The sequence below is a fragment of the Homo sapiens genome, chromosome 1 (assembly GCF_000001405.40).
Source record: "Homo sapiens chromosome 1, GRCh38.p14 Primary Assembly".
Classification (NCBI taxonomy): domain Eukaryota; kingdom Metazoa; phylum Chordata; class Mammalia; order Primates; family Hominidae; genus Homo; species Homo sapiens.
In genome coordinates this window covers 100,248,296-100,264,741 of record NC_000001.11, presented here as the reverse complement: position 1 = coordinate 100,264,741, position 16,446 = coordinate 100,248,296, and the positions used below count along the sequence as shown (strand labels likewise).

The following is a 16,446-nucleotide window of genomic DNA, read 5'->3' as shown; positions in this document are numbered from 1 at the left end:
GGTGACATCACATATCGGTAGGACCATGATGCCCGCCTGAGTCTCAGACCAGCAAGTTTTTATTAAGGGTTTCAAAAGGGGAGGGGGTGTAAGAACAGGGAGTAGGTACAAAAGTACAAAGATCACATGCTTCAAAAGGCAAAAAGACCTTACTACTAGTAAGGGTCTAACAAAGATCACATGCTTCTGAGGGAACAGGACAAAGGGCAAAAGCAGAACTACTTATAAGAGTCCAACAAAGATCACAAGGCAAAGGGCAAAAGCAGAGCTACTGATAAGGGTCTATGTTCAGCAGTGCACATATTGTCTTAATAAACATCTTAAATAACAGAAAACAGGGTTCAAGAGCAGAGAACTGGTGTGACCACAAATTTACCAGGGCGGAGTTTTTCCCCACCCTAGTAAGCCTGAGGGTACTGCAGGAGACCAGGGCGTATCTCAGTCCTTATCTCAACCGCGTAAGACAGACATTCCCAGAGCGGCTGTTTATAGACCTCCCCACAGGAATGCATTCCTTTCCCAGGGTATTAATATTTATATTCCTTGCTAGTAAAAGAATTTAGCAATATCTCTCCTACTTGCACATCCATTTATAGGCTCTCTGCAAGAAGAAAAATATGGCTGTTTTTGCCCAACCCCACAGGCAGTCAGACCTTATGGTTGTCTTCCTTTGTTCCCTAAAAATTGCTGTTATTCTGTTCTTATTCAAGGTGCACTGATTTCATATTGTTCAAACACAGATGTTTTACAATCAACTTGTACAGTTAACACAATTATCACAGTGGTCCTGAGGTGATGTACATCCTCAGCTTACGAAGATAACAGGATTAAGAGATTAAAGTAAAGACAGGCATAAGAAATTATAAAAGTATTATTTGGGAACTGATAAATGTCCATGAAATCTTCACAATTTATGTTCCTCTGCCGTGGCTCCAGCCGGTCCCTCCGTTCGGGGTCCCTGACTTCCCGCAACACATCTTAGATTCTTATTACAGAAACTTAACATTCCCAGAAGAAGCCTCGCCTTTTTATTTCTAATTTTGGCTATGAATTCCTAGCTATGACCCATTTGCCCCATTCTAACTATTTCCAGTGGTAGGGGGAAAAGAACAAGACAGTAATATAATGTAGAGATGAGCTAATTGTGGTAATAATAAGCACTTGTGTAGTGCTTTCATATACATGATCTCTCTTAATGTTCATAACAAAGCTGTGAGGTTGGTGCTCTTATCTCTCTTTGGTTAATGAAGGACTGAGGCCTAGGGAATTGGAAGTGACCTGCCAAGATGACAGAACAATAAAGTGGCAGAGTTGGGTTAAATCCTTGGTTATTTTAATGACAAATGACAGACCAATAATTGATTCCTCAATAAAACAGTGGAAGTCAGAAAGAGTAGAATTGTACATTCAGAATGCTGGCAGAAAATAACCATCAACCTAGAATTGGGCACTCAGCAAAATTATCTTTCAAGAATTAAAGTATAGAAATAAAATAATTTCCAGGTACATGGAAACTGAATTTAACATCTACCTACACTTTTTAAAGGAAGTTCTAAAAGATGTACTTCAGAAAGAAAAATTACTTCAGAAGGAGAGTCTGAGATAGAAGTGATGGGCAAAGAAATTGTAAACACATAGTTGAATCTGAGCAAACATTACATGAAATAACACCAGACAACAAAAGTATGTAAGACGAGAGGTGGATGACAAAGTTAAAGAATTCTAAGGTCTCTCTTTGTAGTTAAGATATCAATTAATAGAGTTGACATAATTCAAGTCTTTAAGTACGCAAGGTAAAGTTTCAAGGATAACCATGAAAGTGTATAACTTCTAATCCAGCCAAAGGAAAAAATGGACTAACAGGAAAACACAGATTAAATGAACAAAAACCTAATATCATAATGAGCATTAAAAAAAAAGAGGATGAAAAGAAAGCACTAAAGTAACAAAATAGAAATAAATTCATATATATCAATAGTAACAATGAAAGTAAATAAACTTTCTGATGAAAAGCCAGAGATTGTTGGATGACACATACCCACAAGTTTAAAAAATAAAAAAGCCAGAGATTGGTTGAAAAAAAAAAGTGCCATTTACAAGAGATGCACCAAAAACATTAAGGATCGTGAGGAGTTGAAAATAAAAAGATGGAAAAGAGATGCCGTATAAATGCCAACAAAAAGAAAGGTGGTATACCTATATTCGTGGTATACCTGTATTTTGTATTAAATTAGACTTTAATACAAAAAGCATTATCATTGACCAAAAAGAGTCACTACAAAATAATAAAAAATTGTGTTCCCCAGGAAAATAGTTATTCAAACCTTTGTGTGTAATAAATAGCTTCAAAGTATGTAAGTCAGAAATTGAAGAAACTGGTGAATCCACTACCATATTGTGAAGTTTTAGCTCACTTATTTATAGATCAAGCAAATGAAAATTTAGGAAAGACAAGACAACTAATAAAACAACTAATAAACTTGATCTAAGGGCAATTATATACATACATAATTGGCCATGTACATATATATACAGATATATATATACATAAGATATATATACAGATATATATACACAGATATATATATATATAAAACCTTCAGTTATTATACATGTTTCCCTCCAGAACTCATGAAATAGACCTCCCCAGTACATTTTATAAGGCTAGTATGATCTTGATGCCAAAACCAAAGACAACTTGGGGAAGAAAAATTATAGGTCAACTTTATTTATAATTTAGATGCACCAGTCTCAGTCAAAATATTTACAATCAAATTCAACAATGTTTGTAAAATACAACACATTATAACCAAGTTGGGATTGAAGATCAATTTAAAATTGGAAAAATATGCTGATGTATCAAAAACCTAAGATCACACCAATAGATGCAGGAAAAGGATTGGAAAAAAAAAAAGATCCATTTATGATGAAACAAAATCAAGCAAAGCTAGGGATAAAACTCTCTTAGTGTTATTAATGGTATATTAGTCCATTTCACATGGCTATAAAGAACTACCTGAAACTGGGTAATTTATAAAGAAAAGAGATTTCATTCACTCACAGTTCTGCATGGCTGGGGAGGCCTCAGAAAACTTATAATCATAGCAGAAGGCAAAGGGGAAGCAAGGCATGTACTTACATGGTGGCAGGAGAGAAAGAGAGAGGAGATGGGGGCGAGGTACACACTTTTAAGTGCCACACACTTTTCAACAACCAGATCTTGTGAGAACACACTATCACAAGAACAGCAAGGGATTTCTCCATGATCCAATCACCTCCTACCAGGTCCCTCCCCTGACACTTGGGGATTACAACTTGACATGAGATTTGGGTGGGGACACAGAGCCAAACCATAACAAATGGCATCTAAAAAATTCAACAGCAAACTTCATTTTCTTTTTCGGCCCTACTGGGAGTCAAGCAAACATCATGTTTAGTAGTAAAATATTAGGCTCCTTCCTTTTAATATTATTAACAAGATAAGAATGCCCACTATTATGGCTTTTTTTAAACAGATGGTAGAAGTCCTAGACAGATTTTACAAGAAAGAAAAAAGACATAAGATAGGACAGGCAAAAACAACACCTTAATTTTGATATCATCTTAATGATGAGACTGTCTACATAGAAAACCCAAAAGGAATCTAGAAGAAATGGATAAATTCCTCGACACATACACTCTCCCAAGACTAAACCAGGAAGAAGTTGAATCTCTGAATAGACCAATAACAGGCTCTGAAATTGAGGCAATAATTAATAGCTTACCAACCAAAAAGAGTCCAGGACCAGATGGATTCACAGCCGAATTCTACCAGAGGTACAAGGAGGACCTGGTACCATTCCTTCTGAAACTATTCCAATCAATAGAAAAAGAGGGAATCCTCCCTAACTCATTTTATGAGGCCAGCATCATCCTGATACCAAAGCCTGGCAGAGACACAACAAAAAAAGAGAACTTTAGACCAATATCCTTGATGAACATTGACGCAAAAATCCTCAATAAAATACCGGCAAACCGAATCCAGCGGCACATCAAAAAGCTTATCCACCATGATCAAGTGAGCTTCATCCCTGGGATACAAGGCTGGTTCAACATACGAAAATCAATAAACGTAATCCAGCATATAAACAGAACCAAAGACAAAAACCACATGATTATCTCAATAGATGCAGAAAAGGCCTTTGACAAAATTCAACAACTCTTCATGCTAAAAACTCTCAATAAATTAGGTATTGATGGGACGTATTTCAAAATAATAAGAGCTATCTATGACAAACCCACAGCCAATATCATACTGAATGGGCAAAAACTGGAAGCATTCCCTTTGAAAACTGGCACAAGACAGGGATGCCCTCTCTCATCACTCCTATTCAACATAGTGTTGGAAGTTCTGGCCAGGGCAATCAGGCAGCAGAAGGAAATAAAGGGCATTCAATTAGGAAAAGAGGAAGTCAAATTGTCCCTGTTTGCAGATGACATGATTGTATATCTAGAAAACCCTATAGTCTCAACCCAAAATCTCCTTAAGCTGATAAGCAACTTCAGCAAAGTCTCAGGATACAAAATCAATGTGCAAACATCACAAGCATTCTTACACACCAATAACAGACAAACAGAGAGCCAAATCATGAGGGAACTCCCATTCACAATTGCTTCAAAAAGAATAAAATACCTAGGAATCCAACTTACAAGGGATGTGAAGGACCTTTTCAAGAACTACAAACCACTGCTCAATGAAATAAAAGAGGATACAAACAAATGGAAGAACATTCCAAGCTCATGGGTAGGAAGAATCAATATCGTGAAAATGGCCACACTGCCCAAGGTAATTTATAGATTCAATGCCATCCCCATCAAACTACCAATGCCTTTCTTCACAGAATTGGAAAAAAACTACTTTAAAGTTCATATGGAACCAAAAAAGAGCCCACATTGCCAAGTCAATCCTAAACCAAAAGAACAAAGCTGGAGGCATCACGCTACCTGACTTCAAACTATATTACAAGGCTACAGTAACCAAAACAGCATGGTACTGGTACCAAAACAGAGATATAGACCAATGGAACAGAACAGAGCCCTCAGAAATAATGCCGCATATCTACAACTATCCAATCTTTGACAAACCTGAGTAAAACAAGCAATGGGGAAAGGATTCCCTATTTAATAAATGGTGCTGGGAAAACTGGCTAGCCATATGGAGAAAGCTGAAACTGGATCCCTTCCTTACACCTTATACAAAAATTAATTCAAATGGATTAAAGACTTACATGTTAGACCTAAAACCATAAAAACCTAGAAGAAAACCTAGGCAATACCATTCAGGACATAGGCATGGGCAAGGACTTCATGTCTAAAACACCAAAAGCAATGGCAACAAAAGCTAAAATTGACAAGTGGGATCTAATTAAACTAAAGAGCTTCTGCACAGCAAAAGAAACCACCATCAGAGTGAACAGGCAACCTACAGAATGGGAGAAAATTTTTGCAACCTACTCATCTGACAAAGGGCTAATATCCAGAATCTACAATGAACTCAAACAAATTTTAAGAAAAAAACAAACAACCCCATCAAAAAGTGGGTGAAGGATATGAACAGACACTTCTCAAAAGAAGATATTTATGCAGCCAAAAAACACATGGAAAAATGCTCATCATCACTGGCCATCAGAGAAATGCAGATCAAAACCACAATGAGATACCATCTCACACCAGTTAAAATGGCAATCATTAAAAAGTCAGGAAACAACAGGTGCTGGAGAGGATGTGGAGATATAGGAACACTTTTACACTGTTGGTGGGAGTGTAAACTAGTTCAACCATTGTGGAAGTCAGTGTGGCGATTCCTCAGGGATCTAGAACTAGAAATACCATTTGACCCAGCCATCCCATTACTGGGTATATACCCAAAGGATTATAAATCATGCTGCTATAAAGACATATGTACATGTGTGTTTATTGCAGCACTATTCACAATAGCAAAGACTTGGAACCAACCGAAATGTCCGACAATGATAGACTGGATTAAGAAAATGTGGCACATGTGCACCATGGAATACTATGCAGCCATAAAAAATGATGAGTTCATGTCCTTTGTAAGGACGTGGATGAAGCTGGAAACCGTCATTCTCAGCAAACTATCGCAAGGACAAAAAACCAAACACTGCATGTTCTCACTCATAGGTGGGAATTGAACAATGAGAACACATGGACACAGGAAGGGGAACATCACATACTGGGGACTGTTGTGGGGTGCGGGGAGTGGGGAGGGATAGCATTAGGAGATATACCTAATGCTAAATGACTAGTTAATGGGTGCAGCACACCAACATGACACATGTATACATATGTAACAAACCTGCACGGTGTGCACATGTACCCTAAAGCTTAAAGTATAACAATAATAAAAAAAAAAAAAAACTCTCAGAATAAAACTTAGATGTATTTTGTCATGACTTTGGATTAGCCCATTTTTTCTGTATTATGATACCAAAAGCCCAAGCAGCTAAAGAGAAAATTAGATAAATTGAACTTCAATTTAATTAAAATTAAAAACTTTTGTGCTTTGGAGACTATTTTATTTTATTTTTGTTTACACCAAATTTATTTTATTTTTGTTTACACCAAATTCATACACCACTATGAAGAAAGTGGGAGGACAAACCACAGAATGGGAGAAAATATTTAAAAATCATGTATGTGGGCCAGGTGTGGTAATGCATCCCTGTATTCCTGGCACTTTGGGAGGCGAGGGCAGGAGAATCTCTTGGGGTCAAGAGTTTGAGACCAGCCTGAGCACCACAGAGAGACCCCGTCTCTACAAAAAATTTTAAACAATAAATAAATAAATAAATCATTTATTTGGTAAGAGTCTAGGATCCAGAATATATAAAGAACTCTTTGAAGTTAAGCAAAAGCCTGGGTGCGCCGGTCATTTGGGCCCAGAAGTTCAAGACCAGCCTGGGCAACATAGTGAGACCCTGCCTCTACAAAAAATAATAAATTAGCCAGGCATGTTAGCATGTGCCTATCGTCCCAGCTACTTGAGAGGCTGAGGCAGGAGGATTGCTTGAGCATGAGCCCACAAGCTGGAAGCTGCAGTGAGCTATGATTCCAACACTGCACTCCAGCCTGGATGACAGAGCAAGACCACCACCCTGTCTCAAAAAAAAAAAAGTTATAAACAAAAAGACACAAGCAAAGGATTTGAATAGGCATTTCTGCAAAGATATACAAATGGCCAATAAGCACATGAAAAGTTGCTCGGTGTCATTAATTATTAAGGGAATGCAAATCAAAACCACCATGAAATACTACTTCTCACCCACTAGGATGGCTGTACAAAAAGACAGGCAGTAACCACTGTTGGTAAGGATGTGAAGAAACCAGAAACTTCATACGCTGCGCTAGTACAAATGTAATGTTGTTGGAGCCCCTTTTGAAAATATTCTGGCAGTTCCTCAAAAAGTTAAACATAGTATTACCATGTAACCTATAAATAGCAATTCTACTCCTAGATATTCACAGAAGAGAAATGAAAACATGTCCACACTCAAGCTTGTACATGAATGTTCATGGCAGCATTATTCATGATCCAAAAAGTGGAAACAACACAAATGTCAAAATTAAATCAAGTTATAACTTTAAGAGTTCATTGTGCATACGAAACAGTTTGCAAACTGGAAAGACCTCAAATTGGAAAACAGCATGAAGTCTCAATTTAAAAAAATTATGTTTTTTAATTTATATAAATAGAAACAGGGTCTTGCTATGTGGCCCAGGCTAGTCTTGAACTCCTGGCCTCAAGTAATATTCTTGTTTTGGCCTCCAAAATTGCTGAGATTACAAGCATGAACCACCTAGCCCAGCCAGGTCTCATTTTATAGCAATTACAGCAGTTTATAGAGCATACAGGAAGCAACATTGTAACTTTTTTCATGACTGGCTGTCATTTTTTTAAAGACATGTTGAGCTATTTAAGCTGATTTATCAATAGCTGATTCGTTTAATTTCATGAAATCATATTGATAAAGACAAAAAGCTTACTTTTATGTTTTGTTTATCTTTAGGGTTAGGGGAAATCAGGATGGATTAAGTCTTAGTTACATTGCTATGGGCAGTTTGGCCTTGAGAAATCTAAACTGTGGCTCTATTTTTATTTATTTATTGAGACAGGGTCTCACTGTGTTACCCAGGCTGGAGTGCAGTGATGTGATCACGGCTCACTGCAACCTTGACCTCCTGGGGCTCACGCAATCCTCCCACCTCTGCCTCCCGAGTAGCTGGGACTACAGGCACATGCCACCATGCCTTGCTAATTTTTAAATTTTTGGTAGAGACAGGGTTTCGCCATGTTGCTCAGGCTGGTCTCCAACTCCTGGGATCAAGTGATTCTCCTGCCTCAGCCTCCCAAACTGCTGAGATTACAGGTGTGAGCCACCACACCTCGCCCATTTTTATTTTTATTTTAACAATGTCTATCAACTGATGTGTATATAAACAAAACGTAAAGTATATCCATACAATGAAGTATTGTTCAGCCATGAAAAAGAATGAAGTACTGATACCATACACGCTGTAATATAGATGAACCTTGAGAACATAAGTGAAAGAAGCTAACTGAAGAAGCCAGTCACAAGAGACCACATATTGTATCATTCCAGGTATATGAATGTCTATAATAGACAGATTTATGGAGATAGTTTAGATTAGTGGTTGTCAAGGGCTGTGGGGGTACATTCAGAATGCGGAGTGATTGCTAATGGGTGTGAGGGTTATTTTGGCAAGGGGTGATGTAAATGTTCTGGAATTAGTGGTAATAGTTGCAGAACTTTGAATATACCAAAAATCACTAAATTTTACACTTTAAAAGGGTGAATTTAACGTATGTGATTGCTATCTCAATTTTTAAAATTGCAAAAGACAAGACATGTGAAGGAAATATAGCAGACTACCTTTAGGACCTTTGGATTGTAAAGTATTTCTTTTTTCTTTTTTTATTTTTGGAGACAAGGTCTTGCTCTGTCACATAGGCTGGAGTGCAGTAGCGCAATCATGGCTCAGTGTAGCTTCAACCACCCAAGCTCAAGCGATCCTCCCACCTCAGCCTCCAGAGCAGCTGAGACTACAGTCATGTGCCACCACACCTAGCTAATTTTTGTACTTTTTGTAGAGATGGGGTCTTGCCATGCTGCCCAGGCTGGTCTTGAACTCCTGGGCTCAAGCAATCCCCCTGCTTCGGCCTCCCAGAGTGTTGGGATTACAGGCATCAGCTACTGCGCCAGGTGGGATGTACTTCTCAAGACACAAAAATCACTAATTATAAACAAAAGATAAATACTGTTGGCCTGTGAACGGTGGCTCAAGCCTGAAATTCCAGGATTTTGGGAGGCCAAGGTGAGAGGATCGCTTGAGCCCTCAAGTTTGAGACCAGCCTGGGCAACATGGTGAGACCGCGTCTCTACAAAACGATTAAAAAAAAAACTTAGCTGCATGTAGTGGTGTGCACCTGTAGTCTCAGCTACTAGGAAGGCAGAGGTGAGAGGACTGTTGGAGCCCACGAGTTCAAGGCTGCAGTGAGCTGTAATTGCGACTCTGCATTCCAGTCTAGGTGACAAAGTGAAGCCTTGCCTCAAAAAAAGAAAAGATTAATATGTTTTAACTACACTAAAATTAAGAACTCTGTGCATCAAAGGACTCCTTCAAAAAAGCAAGCAAAGACATGTCACAAACTGGAAGAAAGTATTAGCAACACATGTAAATTAAAAGGATTAGAAGAATCCAGAATATATAAGGAACTCCTAAAGTAATCAACTAGAAAAAGATACACTATAGAGGGAAAATGGGCAAAAAGCATGGATAGGCATTTTATTTTATTTTAAATTTTTTTTGTTTTTACATAAACAACACTTTTTTTGTTGATGTATTCATCAATAGACACGGGTTGTTTGCATATCTTAGCTATTGTGAATAATGCTACAGATATCTTTACAAGATATTGATTTCATTTCCCTTGGGTTTATGCTCACAGAGAAATTGCTGAATCATATGGTAGTTCTACTTTTAATTTCTTGAGGAACTTCTATTTTCACAAAAATAAAGTATATCCATACAACGAAGTATTGTTCAGCCATGAAACTGTACCAATTTACAAATATTGCCACCAACAGTTTACAAGGGTTTCATTTTCCCTATACCCTTGCCAACATTTGTTATTTGTCTTCTTGATAAGTCATCCAATATATTAATACTACATTTATATAGACTCTTTCATCATATAAAGTAGTATCAAGATACTAGAATTCCTTTGATCTTCAAAATATCCCTGAAGGTATATTGAAGATGGTAGGGAAGGTATTATCAATGTCAATCTCATCTTGTACACAAGAAAATTGAAACTTGCCCATGATAGGCAAAAAAGAGGCAGATCTATATATAATTCAAACTCTTAATGAATCACTACAAACTATCCATATTAAACAAAATATATATCTGTATTATATACAATACATACAACTCTATATTAACATAGTTGACTAAGCATATATTGGAACAGTTTCTAAATAAGTAATGATATTTAAATACTTAGGCTATTAAAAGTCCTCAAAATTCATAAATAGTTAAACTACAGTAGCTCTGGCAAGCATGTGTTGGTATATTTTGGGGTAATGGTCAATGCAGGGGCTGACTCTAGGCTACATTTATCTCCTGACCACTTAGAATTCAGAGCAGAATTCAGAAGGTCATCCTCAGATTTTTCTACACCAGTCAGGCACACCAAGGAGCCAAACAAGTAATTTAAGACCTTCATTAATTAGCATCTTGCATTTTGGTAAACGTCACTCTTTCTGAGAATTCCATTGAATAGAGCAGAGTGTCAATTTAACGAAGCCACAGTCATGTTCTATTTTTTTTTTCTTTTAGGCAGGGTCTTGCCCTGTTGTCTAGGCTGGAGTGCAGTGATGCAATCACAACTTACTGCAGCCTCGAGCTCCAGAGCTCAAGTGATCCTCTCGCCTCAGTCTGTAGGACTACAGGCACACGCCACTACCCCCAGCTAATTTTTTGTAGAGATGGGGTTTTGCCATGTTGCCCAAGCTGGTCACAAACTCCTGAGCTCACGCGATCCTCCCGCCTTGGCCTTCCAAAGTGCTGGGATTACAGAGCCGCCGTACCTGTCCCACAGTCATTTTCTTAAGGATAAATTGTTTCATCTTACTTTGTCCCACATTTATAGAAAGTAACATAGACAACCATCTTAGAAATATCAACAATTGAGCAAGCACTCTAAGAATGGCTAATAAACATGTAGAAACATGCTCAACTTTATTAATAATCAGGGAAATTCAAATTAAGATTATAACATCATTTTATAATTACTAAATTGGGGGAAAATTTTAAATCTGACAATATCAAATGAGAAACAATAAACATACAGCAGCTAGGCATGTAGTTTGTACAATCACATTGGAAAACAATCTCGTATTATCTAGAGTAAACTTGAAGATAAACATAACCCCTGTTTCAACAATTCAACTTTTAGGTATTTATCCTAAGCCTACTAATCAAAGTGTAGTTGGCTAACCAATAGCATTTGTATCACCTGGAGCTTGTTAGAAATGCAGAATGGCAGGTTTACCCACATTTACTGAATTAGAATCTGCTTGTTAACAAGATCCCCGGTTGCTATGAATGCTCATTAATGTCTGAGAAGCGCTGTGCTAAAGAAACCCTAGAACATGCACCAGGAGAAATGATCAAGAATGTTCATAACAGCACTGACGGTAATAGCAAATAACTAGAAATAGCACAAATATCCACTCAGTAGAGAATGGATAAATAAATCATGTCAGAAAAACTAGTTGCAGAAAGATACATACAGTTTAATACCATTTTTATGAGACTCAAAAACAAGCAAAAGTAAATAATATGTTACTAGGCATCCATCCATATATGTATATGTGGTCAATTCTAAAATAAACAAAGGAATGAAAAACACAATTCAAGATAACGCTTATGAAGGGGAGAGGTAAAGGAAGGAGCAGACAGTGATCTTCACTAACGGGAAAGATTCTATTTCTTTTTTTTTTAGTTTAAAATGTATTTTATTTTTAGACAACCTACATAATGTGTTTTTCCATAGGTTCTATTTCTTAAAGTTGAGTGATAGGTTCAAGGGTTTTTGTTATATTATCATGTGACATATGTATTTGTTTTGTATTGTTTTGAGATGGAATCTTGCTCTATTGCCCAGGCTGGAGTGCAATGGCACAATCTTGGCTCACCACAACCTTCGCCTCCCAGATTTAAGCAATTCTCCTGCCTCAGCCTCCCGAGTATCTGGGACTACAGGCGCATGCCACCATGCCTGGCTAATTTTTGTATTTTTAGTAGAGATGGGGTTTCACTATGTTGGCCAGGCTGGTCTCGAACTGCTGACCTCGTGATCTACCCGCCTTCGCCTCCCAATGTGCTGGGATTACAGGCATGAGCCACCACGTCCAGACTTATGTATTTGTTTTTATTCATATGTTCATTATTGTCTCATATAACACAGTTTTAACAGCTTTATTATGGTGTACTTTACATACCATAAAATTCACCTGTCTTAAGTGTATAATTCAAAGATTTTTAGTAAATGTACAGAATTATGCAATCATTGCCACAAAGTGGCAACAGAAAATTTTCATCACCACAAAAAAAATCTCTCTTGCCTCTGCAATCACTGCCCCTTCCACCTCTAGCCCCAGGCGAATTTGTTTTCTAATGCTAACCTTATTAATTAATAATACTAATATAATCTTATTATATAACTAATATAACTAAAACTAATCTGTTTTTCATCTCTATAAATCAACATTTTCTGGACATTTAATTTAAATGGAATAATGTAATATGTGATCTTTTGTGCTTGTATTCTTTTACTTAGCATAATATTTTTTTGACATTCATCCATGTCATAGCAATTATCGCTAATTCAGTCATTTTTAAGGATGAATAATATTTCAGAATATGGATGTACCACATTTTGTTTATTCACCTGTTAATGGACATCTGGGCTGTTTCTAGATTTTGGCTGTTATGCTGTTATGATTATTCCTATTCAAGTCTTTGTGTGAACACTGTTGTCATTTCTCTTATGTAGCTATCCAGGAGTGGAATTGGTGGGTCATAACTGGCCATTTTTAAATCTAAAAAAAGAGAAGAAATGGGGTCTTTGTTTCTTTCAAACTCGAATAAAAGAATTAACTAGGGAATAGATGGTGTATTTCTTTCCAGATGCTGGAATGAAAGATAAGGACACATATTATACTGAATATAGAAGCAAGAATCCATTGACATAAGAAGACGGTAAAGGAAAATAAACTAGTTATCTTCTGAGGAGCAGGTACAGTTAAAAACGAAATTAGGACAAAGAAAGTTGTATAGCAGCAGCTTGGAAGGGAGATGATTCACTTCAAAGGTACAACTGCCACTGCTTTTTATACAAACACATGCTTGTGGGATTATCAAATATATTAATAATGTCTATAAACATTTTTAAGGAAATGTAAAAACTTGAAATTCTTTTGACTACTCTAGATTTTCTGAGAAAGATAGCTATTTAGGCCGGACCCAGTGGCTCATGCCTGTAATCCTAGGACTTTGGGAGGCTGAAATGGGAAGATCGCAGTTTGAGACCAGGACTTTGAGACCAGCCTGGGCAACATAGAGAGATCCCATCTTGAACTTCTGAGCTCAAGCCATTTGCCTGCCTCAGCCTCCCAAAGTGCTGGAATTATGGGCAGGAGCCACCACGCCTGGCCCAAGAGACCCTATCTCTACCAAACAAACAAACAAACAAAAAAGATAATAAGATTTATTGTTTGCATTGATTTTTTGTGTGTAGATGTGTAATACATAAAATGGCAAATGAGGGGGAAAAGTGTTTGGGTCATATTAAACAATGAAGTTGTGAAATACCTGAGATTTTGTTTCATAACCACTAATCTTCAATGTTGAGCATTTAAAATGTATTTGTTCCAGTTTTTTTTCTCTGTAATTCCTTAGACATCTGTGCAGATTTTCATTCCCACGTAAGAAGCAATAACAGACTAATGTCATCCTGGACATTTCCAGGAATTGGTTTCCTAGTTGCTCTGAGGAAGATTGCCTTTTAAAAGAAAGCTCTGATCTGTTCTTTACCAGTTCCACTTGACCTGAATTTGACATTTCTTTAAGAGACAACTAAATCAAGATCATGTGTCTGTGACATGTATTGCATATGCTAGTTAGCTGCATCTGATAGCAGTCTGTAAAAAGAAAGATGATAACATGTTTATTTTAGACATTAGGTAATGTTCATCTTTCATGAAAAAAATTGATTAGCCAATTTTGGTAATCAAAAACATAAATGGGAGTAAAAAAGGCAGTCATTGGGAAGTACTGCTGTATGGACTTGTGAAACAACTAGTTGTCCAGAGCCTTGCTACAACGTATAGAAATATTCTATTTTCTGTATTTGGGGCGGCTACACTACAAGATGAAGACGGGGAAATGTTTTCCAACTCATCGCTCAGGTCCTACTGCAACATAACTTTCTTGAGGTAAGTACCTTTCTTTGTGTTTCCTTAACACTCTCTATTTTCCCCATCACATACACTAAAAAGATTATCTTTGGTGCATCTGTATTTACACAGCAGTGTTAAATTTGGGCTGCCCTCTGCCCCGCCTCCGTCCCCCAGGCTCTTTTCACTCCCCGCTGGGTCCCAGATCCTAGGGTTTAGCTCAGGCTCCGCCCTACTCCTTGGTTGGCTGTTGGGTGGGAGGCTCGTTTCTTCCCTCCCTATTGGTCGCCCAGGGGGAGGCGCGTTTCCCATCTCCTGATAGGCCGCGCCGAGGAGAGTCTCTCCAGTTTGCGGCACTGTTGTCATTTCCGGGGTAAGATGGCTGCAGTCCGTATGCTGAGAACCTGGAGCAGGAATGCGGGGAAGCTGGTAAGCACGTTTGGGCAGATCTGAGGCCGGGAAGGAGTGATTTGTCCGGAGTCATCCAGGAGTGGTGTTTTACTTTCTCCTCCGGTGCCAGGCGTCCAGGGCACGCGTGATGGAGAGGTGAAGGGATGCATGCAAAATAAAGGGCAGAGAACGGAGCGAGTCGACCAGTCTGGAGTGGAAACCCACTCCCTCCCCTTACCTGGAAGCGCTTCTGCAGCGACTCAGCCGTCCTGCTCCATCTGTACCCCGAGGCCCAGCTAGCGTTTTATTGAGCGCCTTCCAGGTGCCCAGGCATTGTGATAGGCGCTGTGGATCCAGAGATATATTCGTTTAGCATTTATTGCGTACCCACAGTATGCCAAACACTGGTAACACGACCCCTACCCTCAAGGAATCTACAGTGTGTAGAGGAAGAGGCCGTTCAAGTTATAGAATATCAGCAGGGGTCCCTGCTTCCGAAGAACTGAGCAGCTCGGCGTCACTCTTTTGCCTTGTACTTCTATGTCCGCACCACATATCATTCCTACCCTTTTGTCACCAAGGCTGTGACCCATCACCATCTCCCCTGCACTTCCTTCTCTTTCTCCCAGTCTTAGCACCAAGCACTGACACATACCGGTAATGATACTTGTTACCCCTATTTGCTTAGTGTTTCTTCTTCCTGCCTCTTCTCCCTTTCCCTAGATGCTCCTGCCTTGGTGACCCCGATCTTACAAAAACTTTCAAGAGCCTGCTATGTACCAGTGCTGTGTTAGGCACTGGAGATACAAATATGAAATAGACATCATATCTTCCTTCTCAAGAGATTACAACCTTGTGGTGGAGGACAAAGGAGAGGGAGACAGATAGAAATTACAACCCAGCATGAGAGGTACTGTGATGGGACAAGTGCCTAGAACTACAGGAACACACAGGAGTGGACACCTATGGTGGACTTGGGGGTCAGAGGAGTTCCCAGAGGATACTGTATGACTTGAGATGTAAGAAGGATAAGTAAGAGATAACCAGGAGAAGAGAGCTCTTCTCAGCAACACTTAACACATATTGGTCTCTCTTCTTTCTAGAGCTTTCCATTCTTGTTTTCTGTGACACCAGTTTCCCAATATTATTCTTTCTTCATCTTTGGCCACTTCATCCCAATATCCTGTTTCCCTTCCCGCCTTTTAAATATTGCTTTTTCTAAAGGGCTCTGACTTTGGCCCTCTGCACTTTTCCCACTTTCTGGGTTATCCCATCCACTCTTTGGCTTTAGTTACCATCTATGCTGATGAGTCCTAAAGTTCCCCAGTCTTCCAACCAGGTCTACTCCAAACCCATATATCCTACTGTCCTGGAAATCTCCAGTTTCATATGTACGTGATGTTTTCCAGCTGCAATTAAAAACCCAACCAATAAATAGGAAATTAAGTATCCATGCATACAGAGCATCCCCAATTAGATGTCAGCTCACATTAAGTGGCTTATGATTATCAAT

At 38.5% G+C, this 16,446-nt stretch overlaps 1 protein-coding gene across 9 annotated transcripts in view, besides 4 other annotated features; it reads left to right on the top strand.

The window, feature by feature from the left end:
• Positions 14,620 to 15,179: an enhancer, noted in NCBI's record as "NANOG-H3K27ac-H3K4me1 hESC enhancer chr1:100715119-100715678 (GRCh37/hg19 assembly coordinates)". NCBI's record gives its function as "activates a minimal SCP1, AML or CMV promoter by ChIP-STARR-seq in primed H9 embryonic stem cells {active_cell/tissue: H9 hESC(primed)}" and the evidence as "EXISTENCE:reporter gene assay evidence [ECO:0000049][PMID:30033119]".
• Positions 14,689 to 14,788: a silencer, noted in NCBI's record as "silent region_1118". NCBI's record gives its function as "represses an Ori minimal core promoter by ATAC-STARR-seq in GM12878 lymphoblastoid cells {active_cell/tissue: GM12878}" and the evidence as "EXISTENCE:reporter gene assay evidence [ECO:0000049][PMID:35858748]".
• Positions 14,899 to 15,018: an enhancer, noted in NCBI's record as "active region_1377". NCBI's record gives its function as "activates an Ori minimal core promoter by ATAC-STARR-seq in GM12878 lymphoblastoid cells {active_cell/tissue: GM12878}" and the evidence as "EXISTENCE:reporter gene assay evidence [ECO:0000049][PMID:35858748]".
• Positions 14,908 to 16,446, top strand: part of DBT (dihydrolipoamide branched chain transacylase E2) — a 62,916-nt gene continuing 61,377 nt past the window's right edge. For 7 of the 9 annotated variants that reach the window (NR_174363.1, NR_174365.1, NR_174364.1 and 4 more), the window contains exon 1: positions 14,908 to 14,972. Coding sequence is in view for 1 of the 9 variants with exons in the window: in NM_001918.5 (NP_001909.4) it covers positions 14,922 to 14,972 (51 nt within the window). In the remaining 8 variants the exon portion in view is untranslated. Of the gene's footprint in view, positions 14,973 to 15,656; positions 15,844 to 16,446 lie in introns of all 9 variants that reach the window. The other 2 variants (NM_001399969.1, XM_017000468.3) reach the window with 1 other exon arrangement.
• Positions 15,180 to 15,739: an enhancer, noted in NCBI's record as "NANOG-H3K27ac-H3K4me1 hESC enhancer chr1:100714559-100715118 (GRCh37/hg19 assembly coordinates)". NCBI's record gives its function as "activates a minimal SCP1, AML or CMV promoter by ChIP-STARR-seq in primed H9 embryonic stem cells {active_cell/tissue: H9 hESC(primed)}" and the evidence as "EXISTENCE:reporter gene assay evidence [ECO:0000049][PMID:30033119]".